This window comes from Homo sapiens, chromosome 2 (genome assembly GCF_000001405.40).
Source record: "Homo sapiens chromosome 2, GRCh38.p14 Primary Assembly".
Taxonomy (NCBI): domain Eukaryota; kingdom Metazoa; phylum Chordata; class Mammalia; order Primates; family Hominidae; genus Homo; species Homo sapiens.
This window is the reverse complement of record NC_000002.12, coordinates 107,869,262-107,895,608: the sequence shown is the minus strand read 5'-3', so window position 1 is coordinate 107,895,608 and position 26,347 is coordinate 107,869,262. Positions and strand designations below refer to the sequence as shown.

The following is a 26,347-nucleotide window of genomic DNA, read 5'->3' as shown; positions in this document are numbered from 1 at the left end:
GGTAAATTGGTAAATCTTTTTGCAGGCTGAGAAGTGAGAGAATGCTGGCATGCCTACTCTGTGCTGGGTTTTTTTTTTTTTTTTTTTTTTTGAGATGGGGTCTTGCTCTATCGCCCAGGCTGGAGTGCAGTGGCGCAATCTCGGCTCACTGCAAGCTCCACCTCCTGGGTTCACGCCATTCTTCTGCTCTTCTGCCTCAGCCTCCCAAGTAGCTGGGACTACAGGCATCCGCCACCATGCCTGGCTGATTTTTTGTATTTTTAGTAGAGACGGGGTTTCACCGTGTTAGCCAGGATGCTCCCGATCTCCTGACCTTGTGATACGCCCACCTTGGCCTCCCAAAGTGCTGGGATTACAGGCGTGAGCCACCGCGCCCAGCCCTCTGTGCTGGGTTTTATGTCGTCCAATAACTCACAACTATGTAATTTATTTCCTTTTTACAGATAAAGAAATGGGGGCTCAGAGCAGTCAAGAACATGCCCCAAGTTATTCGTCAGTGAGGCGGAAATTGTGGTGTCCTTGTGTAAGTTCACAGTTTATACTTTACCATTATACTGTGCTCCAAATTATCTGATATTTACTTTCAAAGCATGTGTAGAAAGTTTACTATGATGATGCAGAGACATTGTACAGAATCCAGTCCCTTGACTCTCAGGTCCCCAGAACACTCACTTCACGATTTTGTTGACCTCTTCTGTCAACTTAAACCTGGCACTCTCTTGGCTGGCTTTCTCTGCTCTTTCTGGGCACTCCAAAGCTTCTGTACTTACATGCTACAATTCCAGTCACAGGAAGATGCTGAGTTCTTTAGTCCCAGATCCATATTCCTGAGAAAACCTAATTGCCTAGGCTCAGGTCATAACTCTGTATCTGTTTCAGTTGATTATGGCTGGGCCTACTGCCCCTCTGTATGGTGGTGGGGCAAAAGTTCCCAGAGAGAGGCAGGGGTGACAGGTTGTCTCAAATGCTAGGCAGACATCTGGAGTGGTAACCACTACATCTGTTCACAGTGAGCACATCCTTGCAGGGAAACTGGGTTAATCATCTATATTATTGAAACTCAGAGGTATAGTGTTTCTTCATAGGAATTTTCTTTCTTTATTTGAGATGGGGGTCTCACTTTGTTGCCCAGGCTGGAGTGCAGTGGTGTGTGATCTTGGCTCACTGCAGCCTCCCCTCCCGAGTTCAAGCGATTCTCCTACCTCAGCCTGCTGAGTAGCTGGGACTACAGGCATGGGCCAACATGCCTGGCTAATTTTTGTATTTTTCGTAGAGACAAGTTTTCACCATATTGGCCAGGCTGGTCTTGGACTCCTGACCTCAGGTGATCTGCCCACCCTGGCCTCCCTAAGTGCCGGGATGACAGGTGTGAACCATCGCACCCAGACTATTTATAGGAATTTTCTGTAGGTATATAAGTAATAATTTGAAGGTCACAACTAGATGCCTTTTCGTGTAACCGTATCTTGAATGGAACAAACATTTTCTTTCTACGTAATTATACATAAATAACTCAATGCTTTTTAATACCCATGAAAAGCCATTAGCTCAAAGACACTTGCAAACTTGTATCAGGTTGTTTTCCTTGGTGTGTATTAAGTTTGAAGCAAAGGGGATTTTCACATACCAAGACGAAGCAGAAGTCTTCCACCAAGTTGAAATCATCACGTTGCAATTTAATCATGTGATACAACCAATTTTTTGATGTGTTATGCCATTCGCCAAATACCAAAAATTTTTTAGGGGAAACTTTACATCCTCAATACTATACACTTCCAGCTACACCACCACCTAACAGGGACTTTAAAAAGAATACAAAGTACGGTATGCCTTCTCAGTGCCTTGTTAGTAATTCAGTTACAGTTCTGCTGAACTTTCTTTAAAGGAATACAATTCTCAATCTTACACTGTTCAGAGCACAAGCATAGCTTATTGTATACAAGAGATGTGCATCAGTTCCCACTCCTCAGGGACTGTATGAATTTGGCTTTATTTTTATTTATTTTTTTGACGGAGTCTCACTCTGTCACCAGGCTGGAGTGCAGTAGTGTGATCTCAGCTCACTGGACTCTGCCACCCGGGTTCAAGTGATTCTCCTGCCTCAGCCTCCCAAGTAGCTGGGACTACAGGTGCACACCACCATGCCCAGCTGATTTTTTGTGTGTTTTTAGTAGAGACGGGGTTTCACCATGTTGGCCAGGATGGTCTCGATCTCTTGACCTCATGATCTACCCGCTTTGGCCTCCCAAGGTGCTGGGATTACAGGCATGAGCCACTGTGCTGGGCCAAATTTGGTTCTTAGAAACCAAGGAGTGATGTGTGCACCAGGCCCAGGGCTGAAGAGCTGCTTCTCACTAGATGCCTCTCTTGGTCTGGCTGCTGTGTCCAGTCCTATCCAGGGTTAGCTCTGTTCCTCCTTCTTGCGGCATCTGTGTTTCTCTTTCTGCTCTGCCTCTCCCCATCTCCTAGTCCAAACATCCAAAGAAATTAATTACCTCCAGGAGATCGAGACCATCCTGGCTAACACGGTGAAACCCCGTCTCTACTAAAAATACAAAAAATTAGCCGGGCATGGTGGCGGGCGCCTGTAGTCCCAGCTACTTAGGAGGCTGAGGCAGGAGAATGGCGTGAACCTGGGAGGCAGAGCTTGCAGTGACCCGAAATCGCGCCATTGCACTCACGCCTGGGCGACAGAGCAAGACTCTGTCTCAAAAAAAAAAAAAAAAAAATTAATGACCTCTGCCCCTAACTGAACAAAGCCCTTCATCTAAGGCCACCCTTTGGTTGGCAGCCTTAGCCAGACATCTGCTTCTGGTCAAATCAATGTCTTGTCCACAGGGAGGCCCAGCGCTGTTTCTGGTTTTAGCTGGATGCAGGGTGTCAGACATGGCAGGTACTACGGTCTACGTGGCGGGTATCAAAGAGTTGGTCGACGTTCTCACAACAACCTAATAGGGACCAACCATGGAAGGCCAGTAGTAAAGGAGTTTGAAGTTCCCTTTCAGAAACCAATTAACAACCCCAAAGAGACAGTGTGTAACATAAAAGAGCTGCCATAAAAATATACAGTTAAACATATTTAATAGAAATATTAAAATAATCATTACACTTCCTCTCATTGCAGAAACCATGAAAGAATATGCCTTTTGTAATCAATTTTTTATCATGCAAAAAAGTATTTTGTTATGACATTTGTAAGTGGAGACTATATTTCAAAACAAGTTTATACAGACTTCAAAAGGTCTCAAGTCAAAGAGAAAGTGAAATATATTTAAATATGATTAGTTACATCTAATGCAGCTGGCATACTCATATTCACAGTTTATAAAGTAAAAAAACTAAACTCTTCATGTCGGCTCTGAAATAGATGCATTTTCATTCATACATTCGCTAGTTAGGTCTGTTCTTCTAAGGAGGAAAGACGAGACATATGAGATATTTTTTAAAGAACAAACTCAACATATCAGCAGCAAATTTCAGTTAAACTAAATTGGAAACCAATGTTCTGTGTAACCAAAGTGCAAAGTCAGTTCCCCAGCTCAGAAAGAAAATTAAGAGTATAAACTGAAGGCTTAAGAGAACTTCAGAGAGCATACTATGTGATTAATACATAAATATTAAAAATTATCCAATTTTTGATTTAAGAACAACACAGTTTGGATCTAGTCATTAAAACATATGCAGAGGTGTCAAAGGCAAGTAACACTACCACCTAAGGTTATTCAGAGGAACTGTGAAGATGTAGCACGGACCTCTAAGGTGTCTAAAATCCCTTCTGATGGAAAGCTTATGGAACACTATCTGCCAAAAACACTGAAAGCACCACTTTTATATTTAGATCCAATGCTGAGTGATATAGTCACTGTTGGGATAGGTTTTTATTTGGGAAAATGGAGAGGATTCTCAAAACAGATTCATGGCTTGCATGCAGTGACACCCTATCAAGAGCCTGGAAAGACACCATGAAATCACCTCAACTCAAGTGGTGGGCCCACCTACTCATAGTCAGTGTTACATTAGCCAGCTCTAGGGCTCTGACAACATAATGAGTTTTGAGATAGTATACTTTAAAGAAAAAAAGAAGAGTTTATTTTAAAGCAAATAACTAAACTGTATTTTAACTTAGCACAATTAACTGCAGCATATTTACTTCATAGCCCCTTAACATGTCACTTTTACCAACAAAGCTTTTTCCTTCATATTCTAATCACAAAAATTTCTCAACAATTTATAACAATCTGTAAATCTGACCTTGCAATAAATAGTCATAAAATGTTATTTTTATTACTATTATTATTTTTAGAGACAAGGTCTCGCTCTGTTCCCCGAGCTGGAGTGCAGTGGTACAATCACAGCTCACTAGCCTCAAACGATTCTCCAGCCTCAGCCTCCCAAAGTAGTGGGATTTCAGGCATGAATCACCACACCTGGCCTTGAAACATTATTTTTAAAGCCTAAATTCCAGTTGGTATGGTACCAAAATTTAGTTTAACTTCAAAATTCACAGTACTGCCGAGAAATGGGCGGGTCCTGAGGTTCCAGAGAAGTGGGGAGTGAATTCATTCCTGGTGGTTTTATTCTGGCAGCATGCATGGGAGATCACATGAGTTAGAGGGCTGTGGCCTGGTATCAATACTTCAAGCTGTTGTACTTTTACTTCAAGTTGAAACTTTTAAAATACATCTGTCATATAGATGTACAAATATATGTAAATGCAAACATATACACACTTTTTGACAAAAGAATGATGGTAATACACATGAACCATTTTTGTAAATAGATTTTATTTGGTTAATAAAAATATTCCTTCCATCAACCTATCGAAGTCCAAACCAACTACGAAGATAGGATGCCCATCCAGAAGAACGGGAAGCATTTTATTCCTCACCTTTGGAAAGTAAAACAAAAAAAAAAGAAAAAAGAGAGTATTAAAATTTCTCAATGTAAAATCTATATTTTAGAACCACTCTACAATATAAGCAAATAATGTCTTTTTTACTGATCACATGCCTTTTTTGTTGGGGGGGGGGGGTTCTTTTTTTTTTTTTTTTTTTTTTTTTGAGACAGGGTCTTGCTCTGTCACCCAGGCTGGAGTGCAGTGGCGTGATGAGACTTCAGTGCAGCCTTGATCTCCCAGGCTCAAGTGATTCTCCCACCTCAGCCTCCCAAGCAACTGGGACCACAAGGTGTGTGCCACCATGCCTGGGTAATTTTTTGTTTTTTTGTAGAGATGCAGGTCTCACTGTTTTCCAGGCTGGTCTCAAATTCCTGGGCTCAAGTGATCCTCCCACTTCAGCCTTACAGTGTTGGGATTACAGTCACGAGCCACTGTACCCAACCATATGTCATTCTTTAGACACACTGCTTACTAAATTTCTCTTTTTAAAGGATATACTGAATTTCCGGTTGAGCCAACTTAACAGCTAATTTTCTATTTTAGCTTTAAAACATTGATAAGCAACATGAAGCAATCTAGAACTTAACCTTTAAATGGCTTTATTAAAGCAATCCAGCTATGAAAATTATGCAGAAATGATTATCTACAATCTTACCAGCACATAAGAAATTCTTCCTCTATTCTGAAATACCATCTTCTCACAATATACTTTGATGTTATGAATCAATGTCTGTTCTTGAACATTATTTATTGTCTTTCTCTATTAAACAATTCCAAAATAAAATTTCCAGCACAACTAAATATTGTTGATGATAAGAGGATTTTAAAAAAAATTCTTTTAAAACAGAAGCTTATATACAACTTAGAATCTAAAACCAATAGATTTATGGTAAACCTTAAAACTGAACCAAAACAAACAAAAACCAAAGTTTTAATCATTTAAAAATCATGTTTATTGAGGTACAACTTACTTATAGTAAAACCTGCCCTTTTCAGCGTATAGCACTGAGTCTTGACAAATGCACAGTTACGTACCACCACCGACCAAGGCCTGGCACATTTTCACCTCCTCAAAGTTCTCCCTGGCTGCTTCTCCCACTCCTTGGCAACCGCTAACCTGTTTTCTGTCCTTATAGTTCTGCTTTTTTCAGTGTCATATAAGTAGAATCACACTGTACATAGTATTTTGAGTCTGACCTCTGTCAACTGGCATAATGCATTTGAGAATTATCCATGTTGCTGTACTGGCAGTGCATTCTTTTTTATTGCTGAGCAGTATTCAATTGCATGGCTGTACCAGTTTGTTTATTCATTTGCCAGTTGAAGGATAACTGAGATCTTCCTCGTTTTTAGCAATTTTAAAGAAAGTTTCTACGAATAATTGTGTACAGGTTTTTAATTAAATGTTTTGGAGATATAATTCATATACCACATAATTCACCTTTTTAAAGTGCATAATTCACTGGTTTTTAATATATTCACAAGGTTTGTGCATAGGATTTTGTGTGAATACTGGTTTTCATTCCTCTTGGATAAAGATTTAATTTGGCATTACCCTTCCAGACACCATTCTGTGTTTTCATACGTATATATGTATGACAGTTTGACCTTACGCAGAGTAGCATTTTCAAAATTTTACATGGGGAAACTTTCTAGAGTTAAAGTCATTTTATTTTTCTGTTCTGTCTGGTTTTATCTGCGTGTTATTTACAATCTGCTGCGTAACAAATTACTACAAACTTAGTACCTTAACACATATTTATTTCACAGTTTCTGTGGGTCAGGAGATCAGAAATGGTTCTATTTCAAGGTCTCTCACAGGGCTGCAATCAAGATGTTGGCATGGCTGGGGTCTCATCTGAAGGCTGGACTGGAGAATCTACTTCCAAACTTATGTGGTAGTTGGAAGAGTTTAGTTCCTCAAGGCTGCTAAACTGATGGCCTGTGTTCCTTGCCTCTGGGATGGTAGCTTGCTTCAACAAAGTGTGCAAGCAGAGAAGACAGAGAGAGTCCACTAGCAAGATAGAAGCCACAATCTCTTGTAATCTATCATTTTTGCTGTATTCTACTGGTTAAAAATAACTCATTAGGTTAGCCTACTGGCTCTGAAGGGGAAGAGATTATACAAAGGCATGAATTTCTGGAGGAGGGAATGAGGGCAAAGAACTCTGAAAAGTCTCTCTTCCACAATCTGAAGAACTTCTAGAAAGTAGAAGGAAGCGATATTGCTTAGGGATGGACAACTTGGCACTGGTTATGTGTTCCAAGTGAGGTAACCTTGTTCCCAGGAATAAAGAGAACCAGATGACTGTAAACATTTCCCTAAACTGAAATGCACTGTTGTATGTTCACCTGCAATGAATGGTGTAAGCTGAATATAAGATTTTTGACAAAATAAAAATTTTGCTGTGTTCTCAGATCTGGCAGGCTCCTGCCCTTGTGCAAACAATGTTCCTGGTAACTATTCATCTCCTTAGGTAAATAAGAATTGGAGAAAAGCTGTGCTTAGATAGGGTGCATTTGCTCTTGCCTTGGAAGGTTGTTTTCTGATAAGGTTCTATATCCTCTGCAAATCAAATCAGGCACTTACAGTGTGAGTATGCATTCTCTTCCTGCCAGTCTGGAGATGATCAAAAAGCCTATAACAGGCTTGGCCTATTTTCCTATTGGGTTGCTGGGCTTTTTTTCTTTATTTACTTGTAGAGAGTTTTAGACCTCTGTGTATGTATGGTGTACAAGTGACAATATTCAGATCTGTAAACTGTAACCCAGTCTGGGAGCAAAGAAGATATAGAAAAATGACTTTTACTTCCGGCTTGAGTAGTAAAATTGAGATTCAAATTTTGCATATAGAAGTACTATATGGCTAACTTATTTGGGGAGCAAAGCTGACTTACCATAAGTCTATCTCAAATAGAAATGAAACACTCAATTTGTGAAATATGCTGAGTTTTAATGCGTGTGGGGGCAGGGTGAATTAACATTTGTGATGCAAGGAGAAGAGCAATCTATACTTACCACTGTCTATTTGACATTGTTTGGGGACTACTGCTACACTCTAAGTCATTTTACCTTATAACGCAGAGTTGTAACACGCTACTCTGAGCAGCTCATGACATCTGCTTGAAATTTAAGTTGGGCCCCTAGTATGTGTTTATTATAAAGATTTTGATGCTGCTTTTCAGAGTTGGGTAACCTACTTTACCCCCTAAGCTAATGTTTCCCAAATACACCCAAACCCACAGAAAGGAAAACTATTCATCATTAACTCACAGCCAACATCATAAACATTTTATATCTAGAGCTGATGATACAGTCAGGTATTTACCAACACTCATGTATATATGTAGAGTGTCAAGAAATAATTGCTTATCCTTACTAGATTCAACATTAGCCTTACTAGATTCAACATATTCTAATGTTTCACATATTATTTTTATTTCTTAATTTTTTTTAAAGATGGGGTTTTACTCTGTTGCCCAGGCTGAAATGCAGTGGCGTGACCAGGATTTCGACCAGAAGTTCGACTGCAGCCTCGAACTCCTTATAACAAAGAATCCTGCTGCCTTAGCCTCCCGAGTAGCTAGGACTATGGGCACATGCCACCAGAACTGGCATATTTTAAAATTTTTGTAGACATAGGGTCTCGCCATGTTGCCCAGGCTGATTCTGAACTCCTGTTCTCAAGCAATCCTCCTGCCTGGTCTTCTCAAACTGTTGGGCTTACAGGTGTGAGTCACTGAGCCCAGCTTGTATTCTTTTGATTTTAAAAAAATATTCTGAATGTGATCCACCAAATTAATTTCACCATCCACTAATAGGTAGCAACCTGAATGAAAAATACTATTATAAACTTTACACAAAACCAGAGATTATAAACATTTGCTTCCAAGGAGATGAGAGAGGTAAAAGGTACTTGTTTGCTCTGATGGGCCCTGTTTCCTTCAGTGCCAGGAAGAGTGGCTCTCAGACCTTTCTTCTAGCATCCCTCATGTATGCAGTGTTGGTTATTATTTTCAAGGCCTTGGTAACAAAATGCCCCCCTAGTGTGACCAGTCAGACTGACAGTCCATATCTGTAATATGGTGGTAAGTTTCCTTTGCATGTCTTTCTTTCTGGCATCTTAGACCTTTTACCTAGGAAATTTTCTTTTTGCTTGAAGTACATCATTAAGAATTTTCAGTGAAGGCAGATTCTTAAAGTTTTTGTTTTCCAGAAGAGATCTTGGAAAATATAAAAGGTTGGCAGTTATTTCTTTTAGTACATGAGATAGTATTACACCAATGCTGTTGAGAAGTCTATTGTGAGGCAATGTGTCTTCTTTCTCTGGCTGCTTTTGAGATTTCTGTCTGTCTTTTTTAGGGGCAGTTTTACTCTTATGTGACTAGAAGTAGATTTCTTCTTTTTTTTTTTAATACTGCTTGAGATTTTATTGGGTTTTTGAATCTGTGGATAGATATCCTTCAACAGTTCTGAAAGATTTCCAGCCATTCTCTTCATATATTATCTGTGCTGTATTCTTGTCTCTCCTTTTAGAACTTCGATTAGTAAAAACATGTTTGATGTCTTTTCCCACTCTTGTTTTTTGTTTCTCCCATGCTGAATTCTGTGTAATTTCTTTTGAACTATCTTGTAGTTTACTTTTTTTTTTTTTTTTGAGATAAGAGTTTTGATCTTGTTGCTCGGGCTGGAGTGCAATGGCACCATCTCGGCTCACTGCAACCTCTGCCTCCTGGGTTCAAGCAGTTCTCCTACCTCAGCCTCCCAAGTAGCTGGGATTACAGGCATGCACCACCACGCCCAGCTAATTTTTGTATTCTGAGTAGAGACGGGGTTTCACCATGTTGGCCAGGCTGGTCTTGAACTCCTGACCTCAGGTGATCTACCCTCCTCAGCCTCCCAAAGTGCTGGATTACAGGTGTGAGCCACCGTGCCAGGCCTTACATTCTCTCTCTTAAAGAGAGAATGTAAGGTATCTAAATCTGCTGCTAAACCATCATTGTTTTTAATTGTAATAAGGTCTCTTTTATGTACTCACATTGATAAGAGACAAGTAGTAAATAATCTTTAAAGGGCAAACTAATTTAAATGTGTTTTCCTGTCTGTTTACAGGACTTACCAAATGCACATCTTAGAGTTCTGGGTTTCCAATGTGTATCTCCTCTATGAAATTCTTTAAAAATATCTGTTCTTGGTATCCCTTAGGTTAGTCTCTTTTAGAACTTCTAAATCAATGGACCCTTAACTTATAGGAGCCACCTGGACATTAGCAACATCTACATTAAACATGCTGAGCTTTTAAAAGAGGGCTGTTAGACATGCTCAGTATTTTGAGATAATATCATTGTTGTATTGAAAACTATTGAAAACTTTAATTTTAAAATGCAAACGTTCTTAAAGTCCTGGTTAATTTTATAACTATAAAATTAGTTATAATTTTGAGATTTCTGTCTTGTTTTTTATAGGGGCAGTTTTACTCTTAGGTGACTAGAAGTAGATTTCTTCTTTTTTATAACTATAAAATTAGGTTTACTTTTGTTAGAATAAATTAAAGACAGTGAATTTGTAATCTGAATAACTACTAAAAATATACATGATGTATTCTTATTTGGGCCCTTGTGACAAAAATACTATTGTGGCTATAGAAACCTATCCTGTAGTTTGAAGAACTGAGATTACTGTCAGTATTGAGAACATTCCTCCTTCATCATTAGAAAGATTATAAAAAACCAGATTCAAAGAAACTATCAATACTACTTATGAAGTATGTCTGTAAAAAAAATTAAGCCTGAATCTTATCAGGCCTCTAGACCAGGGGTTTTCAAGGTATGGGCCCCAGACCAGAAGTATCAGCAACAAATTGCTAAAAATGCAGAATCTTGGGTCAGAAATTGGGGACCAGCAATTGGAATTTTAGTAAGTATACCAGATGATTCAGATGCCTGCTCAATTTTGAGGATGACTCTTATCAGTTTAGTTATTAGGGTTTACAGGGGATGGGGAACATGTTAAAGAACACCAACTAGATAAGGTCAATCAGTCAAAAGTAAGATGTCTGGACATTCTGGGCCTCCTGATGTCTTAGAAAGCACACAATACCATCTATGATGTATTTTTGTCCACCATCCCACCTAATTGCACCTGGATCTTCCTATTTATAGGCAATTGGAACAAGCTCAGTGTTACCCTGTAATGATTAAAACCCAAATATAGAACTGCTATAGCATAAATGACCACTTTCTTCAATTAATAAGTGGCACATTAAAAATATATTTATATATATAATTGTTATAGATAAAAAAACAACAAAATGGCCGGGCGTGGTGTCTCACACCTGTAATCCCAGCACTTTGGGAGGCCAAGGTGGGCAGATCACAAGGTCAGGAGATTGAGACCATCCTGGCCAACATGGTGAAACCTCGTCTCTACTAAAAATAGAAAAATTAGCTGGCGTGCATCTGTAGTCCCAGCTACTTGGGAGGCCGAGGCAGGAGAATCGCTTGAATCCGGGAGGCGGAGGTTGCAGTGAGCCATGATCGGACCACTGCACTCCAGCCAGGGTGACAGAGCAACACTACATCTCAAACAAACAAAAACACAACAACAAAATAAAGCTTAAGGAACATCAACCAAATGCAATATATGAGCCCTATTTAGGATACTATAAAAAGACATTCACAATAACACAGGCAAAATGAACATAAACTAGGTATAGGTGACAGAGAAATTCAATAAACATTGAATTATTCACTGGGGAAAGAAATGATGTGTGGGATTTAAGTCTCTAACTCTCCCCTATTTATGCCAAAAGATTGTCCATGAGTTGAAAACTGTTAGAGATGGGTGACAACTCAAGAGAGATTATAGCGCCTTCCTTGTGCTTGTAAATGTCAAAAATAAAAGTAATTTAAAACTAAAACAAAAATGAAACCATAATTCTTAAGATACAGCTTGAATTCAGTTAACTATAGCAGTTGTATATGAAGCATTTCAAAGAAGTTAATGACATCACAGTATTAAATCCATCTGACATGGAAACCAACTCTAACTACATCATAGTTTTTTGTTTTTGTTTTTTTTTTTTTTGAGATGGAGTCTCGCTCTGCCGTCAGGCTGGAGTACAGTGGTGTGACAGATCACTGCAACCTCCGCCTCGTGAGTTCAAGTGACTCTCCTGCCTCAGCCTCCTGAGTAGCTGGGACTACAGGCGCATGCCACCACGTCCAGCTAATTTTTGTATTTTTAGTAGAGACGAGATTTCACCATGTTGGCCAGGATGGTCTCAGTATCTTGATCTTGTGATCCGCCTGCCTCGGCCTCCCAAAGTGGTGGGATTATAGGCATGAACCACCAGCGCCTGGCCTATGGCACAGTTTTAAAACTGCATTTGCCTAGAAAGTGGACTGCTGTATATAGACCAAGTGTTGGGCTATATGACTCCATTGTCTTAGGCTATTTGGGGTTGGAGGAAGGAAGAGGGGTGAAGTAGAAAAGGAACAAGCTAATAAATGTTTTTTAAAAAGTAGAATTTAAAACAAAACCACGTTCAGCTGAACACCAGAACGCAACACCAGGATAAAAATCCAATTTTCAAAGAGCTAGAAGATCAAGCTAAGCACTTATTGTATTTTGCTGAACGTTAAAATTATATAAATGTACTACAGTTGCCCCAAGATGTTAAAAAGTCAGCTTTTCAAATCTAGTCACGGCCTACTCATATGACAGACCCAATTCAAATGAGCAAAATTGAAAAGTTACACATACAGACAACTTCTCAACCACCAGGCTGTTTAGTTTAAGTTAGAAGTCAGAAGTTCTGAGACTCTCCTTTTACCCACCTTGAGCAACCGCAGCAAGTTTTCCCTTTTCTTCAGGGCTGAGCTGCAACATCGTATTTATAACAGGAAGAAGTCTCTCTCTTTCACTACCTGGCTTCAAGAAAATGAACTGCAGCAAGACGTTCTTCAAGTGTTCCACGTTAGCTGCAGACTCCTCTTGCTCTTGATTCCTTTCCAATCTTCTTATTTCACTTTTGAGAAGCTGGTGTTAGAGAAATGAGTTAAAAATGGGCTTTAGGAGCTTCTGATTAAATATGGCAGACTGAACTCATGTATTTTTCTTCTCTTCCCCCCAAATTTCCCCCTTCCCTCCATATGGCAATAAAGGAAGGAATTCAGTTAACTACAGCAGCTGCATGTGAAGCATTTCAAAGGAGTTTATGACATCACCGTATAAAATCCATTTGACATGAAAACCGGAACTCCAACTATGAGATAGTTTCAAAGCTGCATTTGCCTAGAAAGTGGATTGCTGCATATGAACCAAGTGTTGGGCTATAGGACTCCACTGTCCTAAGCTATTTGGGTTGGAAGGAAGAGGGGTGAAGTAGAAAGGCAACAAGCTAATACAAGAGGAGAAAAAGTAGATGAGACACATCAAGAAATTCTCACGAGAAACAGATGAAGAGGTGGAAATGAGTCAGTCCAGCAGCTTACCAAGTATCACTGACAAGAGGAGAGGATGCATCCTGTGTAAATACTGGAGTTCTTGTCTCAGAAGCACAGGGTATCATGGAAATTGGAGTTGAAAGCTGGGGAACTGATGGAACGTCTCCATGAGGAGCAAATAACTGGAGCCATGGGTTGGTACCAAGATGTTCCCTCTGCCTTCTACTTTCGATAGAAACTAAGCCAGTATGGCATGGGGCTCTGAAAATGGGCTGAGGGGAACATTGGTAGCCTCCACTAACCCCCTGCCCCTACGCTGTTCCTGAAGTCCCAGGCAGTTAAGACGTCCACAGTGAACGGCACTTAATCAAAAGTTCAGACACAGTGAAAATTCAGGAATATAAGACAATGTAAAACACTATCAGAGAAATGAGGCAAAGAATGATATAAAAAAGGTAATATCATGTTCAAGTCTTTGAGGAAGATTTCCAGGTTGAAACCAAGCCATAGCTTTTAGTATATTTTCATTTTAGGTTAGGCAAGAAAGTTAGCGAACTTTGTCCTCAAACCTAGGACCATTTAAAAAAGTGACAATAAAGAAGACGAAGAAATCATGAAGAGAGTATAAATTTATGAAAATATAACATTTGGCCAGGCGTGGTGGCTCATGCCTGTAATCCCAACACTTTGGGAGGCTGAGGCAGGCAGATCACGAGGTCAGGAGATTCAGACCATCCTGGCCAACATGGTGAAACCATGCCTCTAGTAAAATAAAAAAAATTAGCCGGGCATGGTGGTGCGTGCCTGCAGTCTCAGCTACTCGGGAGGCTGAGGCAGGGGAATCGCTTGAACCTGGGAGGCGGAGATTGCAGTGAGCTGAGATTGCACCACTGCACTCCAAACCTAGTGACAGAGCGAGACTATCTCAAAAAAAAAAAGAAAATATAACATTTAAATAAGTCATTTAGGTTTACTGGGCTAGTTAGTGATTTGTTAGCTATGATAATGTTTTTATTAGTGGGAAAATGTTATTTTATAGAGATGCATACTGAAGTATTTAATGGTGGAATGTCATGATATATACAATTTACTGAAAATAACTGAATTCGGCTTTAAAATAATCTGACAAGGATAGCTAGTGGCCTTGCACAGTGGCAGGACAGATCTATTAGGAGCAGCAAAGTACAGGGGAAAAGCATGTACTTTTCAGACAGCTATGAGTTTGAATTTTGTTCCACCATTTACCAGCTTCAATTTTTCTCTTAACCAGTGATGAGATTAAATAATGTATGTAGAGCCCAGGGCCTGGGTCATAAGAACTCCTCAACAAGCAGTATGACTATATTCTGAGGGGTGATTTATCAGTGAGCCAGGGTGGAAATACCTCATTTGAGTAATCCTCAACTGTTCTGCAACATTCCTAGATGTTTCTGGTGTCTACTTTAAACAGGAAAAACTTCCCATGCCACTTTGCCATCTCCACCTGAAAACTGTTTAGTAGTTCAGTACTATAAATATCAGTTGAATAATTTAAATTCACTGGTTATCTTTAGAATTCAAAGACTCACACCCATTTTTTATTTAAGCATATGTGAACAATGATTTGTGAACATCTCTCTAGTTTCTAAATCTATTACGGTTTCTTAGGAAAAGTAGGAATTAAGAAATAATCTTTATGTAATAGGTGTAAAAGAAGTATTTTGGCTGGATGCAGTGGCTCACGCCTGTAATACCAGCACTTTGGGAGGCCAAGGCAGGTGGATCATGAGGTCAGGAGATCGAGACCATCCTGGATAACATGGTAAAACCTGTCTCTACTAAAAATACAAAGAAATTAGCCAGGCATGTTGGCGGGCACCTGTAGTCCCAGCTACTTGGGAGGCTGAGGCAGGAGAATGGCGTGAACCTGGGAGGTGGAGCTTGTAGTGAGCCGGGATCGTGCCACTGCACTCCAGCCTGCGTGACAAAGCAAGACTGTCTCAAAAAAAAAAAAAAAAAAAAAAAAGGCAATATTTCTCACCATCAGGAATCTAATATAAAGATCAAGACGTTATAGATGCATCTGCAATGTGAATTTTTAAACTTGGGTACATGTGTATGGAGGGTCCAGAAAACCAAATTGGCAGTTTTCATGGTGGCCAGGTTTTCTGATCTCACCTTAATTTGCTCCATAAGGACTGCACTGGTTGCCTCTGCTTCCCGAAGCAGGCCGTTTAAGTGATCTGCACTTTTTGTGGTGGAACTGAGCTTCTGAACCAATTCTTCTTTGGTAAATTCAGCATGCCATAATGGAGGCTCTGCAACATGTTGTTCCAAGAATTAATTTTCAAAATCATACATTACAGATGAAGATTCTAAATAAGAAAAATCTAAATATAAATATCTTACTATGTGATATTTTATAGGTCTGCTTTCTTTGCCATTCATCTATTCGGCATACCTCAATCAACAGATTATATGTTGTAGGTGACACAAATAAAACAGTATCTCTGTTGTAAAGCATGTCATCTAACTGAATACAAGCCCTATGAGTCCCAGTTCTGAAATTTGTCAGAATTGTGTTTATAGACAGTTTTATTACACATCTTCTTCCCATCTATTAATATTCCAAGATTTTATGTCATTTCACGTATAAGGAAAGCATTAACATTTACTGGTCACGTATCATGTTCCCTCATAAGAATCTTCTATCAGGCGGGGTAGGTATCATTATTCAAACTTTACAGACGATGAAACAGGCTCACAGTTGACAGGTAATTTTTGCAGAAATCACAAAGTCAAATTGGCTTCTGGAGTCTGCTGCTCTATCATGATGCCTCCATGTCACCACTATTAACTTTGCCTGAAGGAACCATGACTTGCTGTTTCTACCCCACGTGGTCAGTGACCATGAATACAAATGACCCTTACTCCAGGTGATTCTGAAGTTTCAGGAAGATGACAGATTCCCCCTAAATTTTGAACAGTAATATTAATTACAGGTAATAAAATATACCAAAACATCACTACAAAAATTTAGCATTACTTCATCAAGAGGAATAAACTGAAACTGTCAGTTTCTTGGAAGGGTGAGAGGATAGTTTATCCTGCTTTCTAATACCCACCACCTATTTGTGACTATAAACTTCCCACCACTTATTTATGGTTCAAGCCTAGGGCAAGAGCTAGCATTTTATTTTAAAAAAGATTTGTTTAATAATTTTTCCATTTGGACAGTGTGATGGTTAATACTGGGTGTCAACTTGATTGGATTAAAGGATGCAAAGTATTAATCCTGAGTGTTGTCTGTGAGGGTGTTGCCAAAGGAGATTAACATTTGAGTCAGTGGGCTGGGGAAGGCAGACCCACCCTTAACCTGGTAGGTGCCATCTAATCAGCTGCCAGTGAATATAAAGCAGGCAGAAAAACCTGAAAAGGCGAGACTGGCCTAGCCTCCCAACCTACATCTTTCTCCTGTGCTGGATGCTTCCTGCCCTTGAACATCAGACTCCTAGTTCTTCAGTTTTGGAACTTGGACTGGCTCTCGTTGCTCCTCAGTCTGCAGATGGCCTAGTGATCGTGTAAGGTAATACTTAATAAGCATCCATCCATCCATCTCATCCATCCATCCAACCATCCAATTAGCTCTGTCCCTCTAGAGAACCCTAATGCAAACAGGTAGTGGAATATTGAAAGAAATTTTATTGGAGCAGCCCAAAAAAGCATATGTACCTTAGAGTAATAGTAATTAAATAAGACAGTGAAATTAAAGAAGAACATATTTAGACAGAGTAACAGACCAAGTTTAGTTTCGGGAGAATTAAGCAGCTGCTCTAAAGACTGTGTGTATGTGCTGGCGGAAGACACAGACTCCGTATCAGTTGTCCCATGCCTTCTCCCTCTTCCCGGGTTACAGTGTGCATGTCTAGAAGTGGGAGGTCTGTGTTTCTCCTTTCTCGAAGGTTCTTCAAAGATTGTTGAGAGGAAACTGGGCCTATTAGATTTTTTTTAAAGGTTAAGTGTGAGATTGTTCAAAATCTATTGATTCGGCCTTACAGAGGTACACAATAAAATGAAAATATCAAATGATAAGAGTAGAGGAATTAAGTAACTATAAGATAAGTGAAAGGTGTATGAGGAATTGCTAAAACATTTCTTAAAATTTAGTCATCAAGGCCGGGCGTGGTGGCTCAAATCTGTAATCCTAGCAGTTTGGGAGGCTAAGGTGGGTGGATCACGAGGTCAGCAAGTTCAAGACCAGCCTGGCCAAGATGGTGAAACCCTATCTCTACTAAAAATGCAAAAATTAGCCAGGCACGGTGGCAGGTGCCTGTAATCCCAGCTGCTGGGGAGGCTGAGGCAGAGAATTGCTGGAAGCCAGGAGGCGGAGGTTGTAGTGAGCCAAGATCACGCCACTGCACTTCAGCCTGGCGACAGAGCGAGATTCCAGCTCAAAACAAAAAAACAAACAAAAAAAACCTTAGTCATCAAACTTTTAACTACGTTAGTCATTTTAATAGCAGCTATAAATTAATTGCTACTAGCTAAGATAAACTGTTAGATAACACAGCTCATAATATAGTACTACTTATTTTTTATTAATTTAGAGTAGAGGGCCAAACTACTGCTAAATACTGGCCAAAATTAAAAGACTAGATTCTAGCAATTTTTCAGGATTAGGTATTTCAGATTGCTGCATACTTCTTGAAACACACTTGCTGAAATCTGCTTGGTAGACATCCTCAATCACTGCCCTTATACCTTTACCTCTGCAGCTTCTTAATTGTTGCTGCTCACACCTACAGTGCTCATACAGTTAAGAGCCCAGAATCCAGGGCACGGAACTAATCAATTACATTGCCTAGCAAGACTTTCCTGTTTGCTGATAAACTGTAAAGTGTTATTTTTTCTGAGACAGGGTCTCACTCTGTCACACAGGTTGGAGTGCAGTGGCACGATCTTGGCTCACAGCAACCTCTGCCTCCCAGGCTCAAGCCATCCTCCCACCTCAGCCCCACAAGTAGCTGGGACTTCCAGGTGCATGCCATCCCGCCCAGATAATTTTTGTACTTTTAATAGAGATGGGATTTCACCATGTTGTTCAGACTGGTCTCAAACTCCTGGCCTCATGTGATCCACCCGCCTTGGCCTCCCAAAGTGCTGAGATTGCAGGGGTGAGACACCACACCTGGTCTAAACTGTAAAGTTTACCAGGCCCTTTGACATGTATTGGTTTATTGACTCCCAAAAATCTGAAGTTCAGAGAAATTTAATGACTTTGCCCAAGGTCTCATAACTGAGTTAGAAACCAGAATTGTAATCTAGATTTTTAAACTTCAGATTTCATTTATTTTGCATTTCATTAAATTGCCTTAGTCCTGACTGCCCTTTCTGAAGCATTTTCCTGGGTTTCTGGTAAGCTGACTGCTTATTCCACTGCTGATTGCTAGATTACAATCTCTTGTGCGACCTTTGCCCTGGCTGATTACTTCCTTTGTTGATTCTTTGGCATATACTAAATTCTTCTGAAGTTGCTTTTTTACCCTAATAAGTGACCGATAGCTGCTAATGCTCCAGTGACAATATTTCCCATGGGAAACCAAAACACCATCAACTTGCTACTAAAATACTGCATCATCATGGCTGACATTTTTCCATTTCTTCCTGGAAGCAGAATGGAAGATACTGGGTACGGCTGAACTAAAACTCCAACTAATTGTAAATGTGAAAGCAAAGAAGCTATATTGGTTATGCAGTTCTACACATTCAGTGCCACTTGAGTGTTTCTAAGTTCCTTGCTCTAGCTAATGTTTCTATTTAAAAAGTAGACAAATTTGATGACTAACAACGGAGAACAAGAAACAAATCTGGTGAATACCAGAATTAGGACATGTGTCAGCCAGGCGCAGTGGCTCATGCCTGTAATCCCAGCACTTTGGGAGGCCGAGGCGGGTGGATCACGAGGTCAGGAGACCGAGACTATCTGAGGGAGAATCTTCAGGTTTTTTCTTCTCTTTTGCTGTAACACCAGTCAAAAAAATTGACAAAGATGAGGTATTAAGTATTGACGTTAATACTCTACCTGAAAATAAAAACCATGGAACCTATCTATAGGTTAAAACAGCATACTGATAAAAAACACATATACTTTGATGCAGAGATGTACGATAATCATGAATTAGAATTAGCATCCTGATTTAGTGTTCTACCAAAAACCCTAAGTGAACACAGAATCTATTTAAAACCAAAGAAAACAAAAAAATCTTGTGTTTACTTAATAGTCATTGAAAAGAATTACTACAAATTTCTAGAATTTAAAAAGGTTAAAAATTTTAAAGTGTTGCCTAACTATACTTAGCATACAATAGTTTACCAAAATATCCATGCATTTGCAGCAATTGAAAAAAATCTTAAAACATAAGCAAGTATTAGTATACATATGAAACTAATCCAAAGCCAACTGTGATTAGTTCCTGTAAGGAAAGTTAACAATTGCCAAGAATGGAAGGTGACTAGAGTTGCATCTAGTTTGCCTGTGTTCAAGCATGATACTAGATAAAATTAAATAAAAACTGTTACTCTATGGGTAGCTAACACTATAAAATCTAAGACCATTCATATGGCTGAAAACAACCCATCCCCAGCCACCATTAATGCAAAGCGCAAAAAATTAGAAACAGAAAAAACTTCTATATGCAACCTGTTCTGATCTACTAATGTAAAGAAGAACTTCTGGCTAAAGGAGTTTAATAAAGTAAGCCAGTCATGAAGCATGCCATGTATACCAACTGGTGACAGGGAAACATTCTGAGAGCTATGGTGTCCAATATGGTAGCCTAGCCACATTCTATTAAAACCTCACAAGGTGGCTAGTCCAAATCAAGACATGCTAACAGTAAGTGTAAACACACACACTGGATTTTGAAGACTTGGTGAAAAACAATAATGTAAAATATCATTAATTTTTGTATTAATTAGAAGTTAAAATGATATTCTGGACATAATGAGTTAAATCAAATCTATCGATAAAGTTACTTTCATCTGTTTCCCTTTTTAACTGTTTCTTTTTATTCTTTTTAATATGGCTACTAGAAAATTTATTTAGTTATGTATTTATTTGAGATGCGGTCTTCCTTTGTCACCCAGAGCTGGAGTGCAGTGATGTGATCATAGTTCACTGAAGCCTGGAACTTGTGGGCTCAAGTGATCCCTCTGCCTCAGCCTCCCAAGTAACTGGGATTATAGGCACAAGCCATTGCACCAAATGACAATTTTAAATTACATACACAGGTAATATTTTATTTCTATTGGATGACACTGCTCTGCAGAACCAGTGCCCTTCCTTTTACAATGTTAAATCTGTCCCTCTCCTTCATTATAAACAAAAACTTAGTATCATTTCCTAGCTAGGAGAAATAACAGTACACCGTAAGATACAGATTCTTGTTCCACTTCTGCTATTACTCAGTAAAGACCCCTTGGGTAAATCAGATAGCCTCTCTTGGCCACAGTTTACTCATGTCTAAAGTCTTCATTTCTAAGGTCCCTTGGGACAATGACATTATCAGATTCAAAACAGAATAAGGCTCTATGTTCTACAGTAGTGTATAGGCACATTCGTTCTTAGGTCAGGGATTCCTAACCTAGAGCTCACAGAAACTGTACGCAAGTATACATTCACTTTTAAGTTAACACTTTTCACATTTCTCAAAGACCGTATCTTTAAAATAAAAGATTAAGAGCTACCTTAGCTGGTAATAAAACTGGTATACTTAAAAAAAAAAATCAGAGATTGTTACTTTATCATTGTACTTGTTTGGCATGGCTAAGATGTGTTACTGGTCACTAAGGGTGAGATTTCACTTCCCTAACCTGTTCTTGAAGGCCTTCAACAGATCCCACTTCTTGTTCCACTCTAGTAGCCACACTTCTAAAATTGATCGGTGCAACATATATAATATGCAAGCTGTAGAATGCTGGCTGTTAAAAACGGGGTCCATTTTCAAATACAACATTTTTCTAAACCATGCACAAAAGAACAGCCCTACAGGGACACTCTTCCATACTGTATACATGCCGTTGCCACTACATGTGAATACTGGCAGACGTTAGTGGCTAAACATAAACATTAGATAAAACATAGGTCTTCATTGAGCAGACCTGAAATAGCAGAGCAATGAAGTACATTACAAATCAGCATCCCAGTACATTTTAAAAAACAAACCAACAAGGGTGTCATGCCACCAGTCAAAAGGTACTTTGCTTAAACTGGCATTCTTTAACATGCATGTTGTAGTGGTAAGTACTTCATTTCATACAGCCACAGTTATTAATACTTTGCTAAGGGCTACCCAGCTGCTAAAAACTGCTGTTATCTCATACTGAGAATGCTAGTTCTATACCTTTGCTCTCAGGCTGTGAGGAAGGGGTGCTAGTCCAAAAGGCCATGGGATTAGATTTAAAAAGGCTAAAATTAAATCCTAGAAAATAAAGAATATTTCATTTTTTAACATTTTAGGAAACAAAATGAATATGCTTTTAAAACATAAAAAGCCAGAATCCCTCAATTTATACCACCAATCTGTCTTACATATTCATTTATCCCTGTAGTTTCATTCTTTGCTCCTTTAATACATGAGCAAGACTGACATACAACACATAAAATGAGAACATCTCAATATCATATTTTTTTTTTTTTTTTTTTTTTTTTTGGAGACAAAGTCTCAGTCACTCAGTCAGGCTGGAGTGCAGTGGCATGATTTCAGCTCACTGCTACCTCCATCTCCTGTGCTCAAGCGATCCTCCTGCCTCAACCTCCTGAGTAGCTGCTAATTATAGGCACGCACCACCACGCCCGGCTCATTTTTGTATTTTCAGTAGAAACAGGGTTTCACCATGCTGGCCAGGCTGGTCTCGAACTCCTGAGCTCAAGTGATCTGCCCACCTCAACCTCCCAAAGTGCTGGCATTCTAGGAGTGAGCCACCGTGCCCAGCCTCAATATCATGTTTTCTGAGTGACAAAAGAAACAGAACAAATGAAAATGAACACTTTAAAAAAAGACTCACGTTAATGCGCATGATTCAAGCATGAGTCCGTACACTGTACCAAGTTCTTTTGCTCTGCCCTAGCATGATAGAAGTATCTTCCAGTTACTGAAATGTCTTTAACTAAGTTCTCTTGCTCTTTGAAACCTCACCGTGAACTTATTAAGGGAGAAAAAAAATTGCTCAAATATTTTGGGGGTGTTCACAAAGCATCGTTTATATCCCAACATTAGTATCCCACAAAGAGTCTGCATCAAGCTAAACATTAAAAGAAAGAAAAATTGTGCTTAACTTTAACAACAAAGTACCTACCCTTTTCTGGTGTTTTAAATGTGTAGTTGATTGAAGATTCTTCCATTGGAAAGGAAGCAGAGAGATTTTTGACTTTGCTATCTGAAGACTGTTCGATATCAGAGTTCTTTGACAGTTCACATTTTTTAGGTTCCACTTTGCTTTCAGATCCACTCTGGGCTACTGAACTAGTTTCACTGTTGTTACTTTTCAAAGATGCATTAAAACTAAATCCAAACAAAGACCCAGTGGCAGAACTGTTGCCAAATGCAAATGGTTTTGATTTTTCACTACTAAAAATTCTTTTAACAGACTCTGAACCAAATACAAACTTTGGAGGAGAAACCACTGCTTTTGTTGTTGTTTCAGATGTGCTAGACACTTCAACTTCTGAAGCTGCATCTGCTACATCATCACCCTGAATAACATCTGTCCTCTCTCTTGTGGTTTCTTCTAATACAGCTACAGCAATTTTGCCACATGGTGACTCTCTGGGAGTGCTTGACCGAGAAACATGAGGTGTTATCAAAGAATCTTTTTCCTGGGCTGTTTTTGCTTCATCAAAAATTTTCTTAAACGAGTCTGCAACATCCTGTAGTTTAAAACGAACAGCTAAATGCTCTACTTTTCTTTCTCCATCTGCAAAATCACATGCAGTCCACACCCATACTCTTTCTGTCCCTTTCATATTTTGCAAACTCATGTCTGGAGTTATTGTGTGATTGGCACAAAGTTTTAATACTTGGTCCCTTCTCATCACTATACGAACTTGCTTATTATCATAATTCTGTAAAATCTTTATATCACCAATGCCCCTTTCTTTCCATTGACCAACATCTTTATCATATCTGTAGAGTTCTGCCCTGTGACTAAAAACAACTTTTTCATTTTCCTCACCACTGGATACTTCAACTAGATCAGGTAAAGGAACAACAGGTTCAAAGTACTGTCCATCTCTCTCTTCTTCTTGAGTAACATCAGATTCTTCATCAGTGCCAACTGAAGTCCCACTCTGATTCAACTTGGCAGGAGACTTAGATGGACTCAAAGCAGATTTAAAACTGAAGTTAGATCCTGTTGTTGACTCACCAAAATGGAAAAGATTTTTTCTCACAGGGCTACTTGCCAATGGAGAAGCATGTACTGAGCTACTACTGACACTATCATCCAAAGCATCTTCCCTTAAATCACAGTTATCCCATTCTAATGTGGGCCCAGTGTTTTCAGGATTGGGTTTTATTGTTGTGTCTGAGGCACCGGCCGCACCTGTACCTGAACCCTTATTTTCTTCCTCAGTGACTTTTGTTTGATCATTTGTCAAAAATGTTTTGAAATCTTTCAGTCCACTCTTCATTTCTTCAGCTCTCTGTATTAACTTGGCAGCTCTGCCAGTATCTACAAGTTTATGGGGAGTTTGAAGTGGTATGTCTAACAGAAGCTGCTGGCATTCCTCAAATTTCTGCTTGAATTCTTCAGCCAGCTCTGGTGTTTTAAATTTTGCTGCTAACCGCTCTAGTTTGGCATCACCATCAGAGAAATCACTGGCTGACCACATCCATGCTCTATCTGATCCAGACAGGGGCTTCAGGTTCATTGTAGTCGTTATCCAATGATTAGCACACACTTTTAGTACTTGTTCTCTTCGCATCAGCATTCTTGGTTTGCCATTGACCTCGTTTTTGAGAATTTTTAAGTTCCCCAAGCCCCTTTCTTTCCACTGCCTTACCTCAGCATCAAATCTAAATAGTTTTACCCCCTGTGAATACAGAACTTTTTCACCTTCTTCTCCTATTACAAGTTCTACTTTTTCAGGCATTTGAACTACTGGTTCAAAATGGATGTCATCGCTGTCCTCAGTCTTATAGGCATCATCATCTTTCTCAAAGTCACCGGAAGTGTTTGCTTTATTGGCCATTTTACCGCATTGTGATGAGAATAATTTTTCTCCAGCACCTGAAAATCCCTTGAAATTGGGGTCTTTTTTGCCAAACTGAAATCCTTCTCCTGAAGTTGATTTTGCAACATCTGCAAATGTAAAAGTGCTACTTGTTTGGCCAAAAATCACACCACGGCCATTCTTCTGGCCACTAATATCCTGAGCCTGGAAGCCAGTATCATTTTCAAGAGGCTTTTCACTTTCCTTTTCTTGATTTCCTGGTTCCGAAATGCCAAATTTAAATCCATCAGCAGACACAGGGATGGAAAATCCTTCTTTGGTTGACTTAAATTCTGTATTAGAAGAACCCTGAAACATAAATGAAGGTGAATTTTCTTGATCCACATGCCCAAAATAGTCATGAAATAAATACCTTCTTCATTCCTAAACAATTTATCAAATGATGTTAACAATAATGATGATGATGATGATGATAACATTTATTGAGCATTTATTAATGTGCCAGCTGGGCACTGTTCTAAGCACTTTACATTATTATCTCATTTTAATATCCTCAAAAACCCTATGAATTAAGGTATTATTATTATCCTCATTTTACATATGAGGCAACTGATGCATTGAGAGGTTAAGAAACTTGCCTGTGGTCAAAATAAGCAGAAGAGCAAGGGTCTAAATGCACCCCAACACTCTATCCTCAAAGCTGTCACATTCAACTACCACTGTAATATTGAGTCTTCAATCAATTGTTATATATATAGCTGTATCAGGCCTGAAAGTACTTACCACATAGTGGGTCAGCAAGGGCATTACAGTTCTATTTCTGTTAAAACAGAACGATGAAGGATCCACCACCACCACTCCCATTTTTAAAATATTCTAAATATTCACACTTATTAACTCAAAAATAAGGTGACTAAGAAGGATAATTTCTGTATTTGGAGATAAATTTAAAATATCTACATTTTAAGGGACATAAAAGTTTTAATAGTGAACTGCTCTCTTGAATTTATTTGAAGGAACCCTAAACAATTTAAAAAGGAAATAATTATAAATGTATAAATTATTCCTTTGTTACCTTTGTGGGAGTAACATTAGCTGCTGGTCTGAGAAGATACTGGGAATTATATGCTGGTGACTGACTATAATATACTGAAGGGCCAGTAGTTGCAACTAAAAAAAAAAAAAGAAAAGAAAGAAAACACTGTTAAAGTCTATACTACAGTTAAGACTATCTAGTCAAGAGCTACAAATACAAAAGCAATAGAAATTAAAGAAAGATTTAACTACATAAATTTTAAATTTCTGTACATCAAAATACACCAATCAAGATTATCAAATGACAAACTAGAAAAAAACTGCTAAATATGACATGAAGAATAAGAGAATAGCATCGCTGTGATCAACAAGAACTACCTCACAAGCATTAAAAAAGGAATAAAGAAGAAAGTAACTGTTGCCTTTTCTAAGAAAGATCAGTATGATGTGGAATTATGGACATTCAGTCACAGAAAGGACGTAAGGAACCAAGATGCCATCTGATGGTCAATGCATTTGAAGTGGGCCTAGAAAATCTGCAGAAAGACTAGGTTGTATTTTGTAAACTAAAGCTATTACTGAGAATGTTCAGCTCAAAAATCACCTGACAAATTCATGGAAAGGATGTCATAAATAACATAAAATGTGTTCCCTGGCTTAAAATAAAAAGCACATCAACACTCATACAGATGTACAAACTGTCTGCTCCCTCTGTTTGGTCTGTTTTACCAGGAAACAAAACAACTAGAAGGCACC

General features: G+C 39.0%; 1 protein-coding gene and 1 long non-coding RNA gene across 8 annotated transcripts in view; one reads left to right on the top strand and one right to left on the bottom strand.

The window, feature by feature from the left end:
- The first annotated feature begins 307 nt into the window (after nt 1-307).
- The window catches only part of LOC124906057 (uncharacterized), a 47,064-nt gene continuing 21,024 nt past the window's right edge, over nt 308-26,347 (top strand). The window contains exon 1 of the long non-coding RNA XR_007087170.1: nt 308-523. This is a non-coding gene — a long non-coding RNA (uncharacterized LOC124906057). The remainder of the gene's footprint in view (nt 524-26,347) is intronic.
- The window catches only part of RGPD4 (RANBP2 like and GRIP domain containing 4), a 65,653-nt gene continuing 42,370 nt past the window's right edge, over nt 3,065-26,347 (bottom strand). Inside the window, exons 19-23 of one of the 7 annotated variants that reach the window (NM_182588.3) lie at nt 25,632-25,726; nt 22,681-24,904; nt 15,502-15,641; nt 12,736-12,937; nt 3,065-4,888 (exon numbers count right to left, since the gene is read on the bottom strand). In NM_182588.3, the coding sequence (NP_872394.2) occupies nt 4,878-4,888; nt 12,736-12,937; nt 15,502-15,641; nt 22,681-24,904; nt 25,632-25,726 (2,672 nt within the window). In that variant the 3' untranslated portion in view covers nt 3,065-4,877. Of the gene's footprint in view, nt 4,889-12,735; nt 12,938-14,673; nt 14,835-15,501; nt 15,642-16,788; nt 16,989-19,218; nt 19,343-21,725; nt 21,804-22,680; nt 24,905-25,631; nt 25,727-26,347 lie in introns of those variants that run through there. The other 6 variants (XR_922911.4, XM_011511017.4, XR_007073111.1 and 3 more) reach the window with 6 other exon arrangements.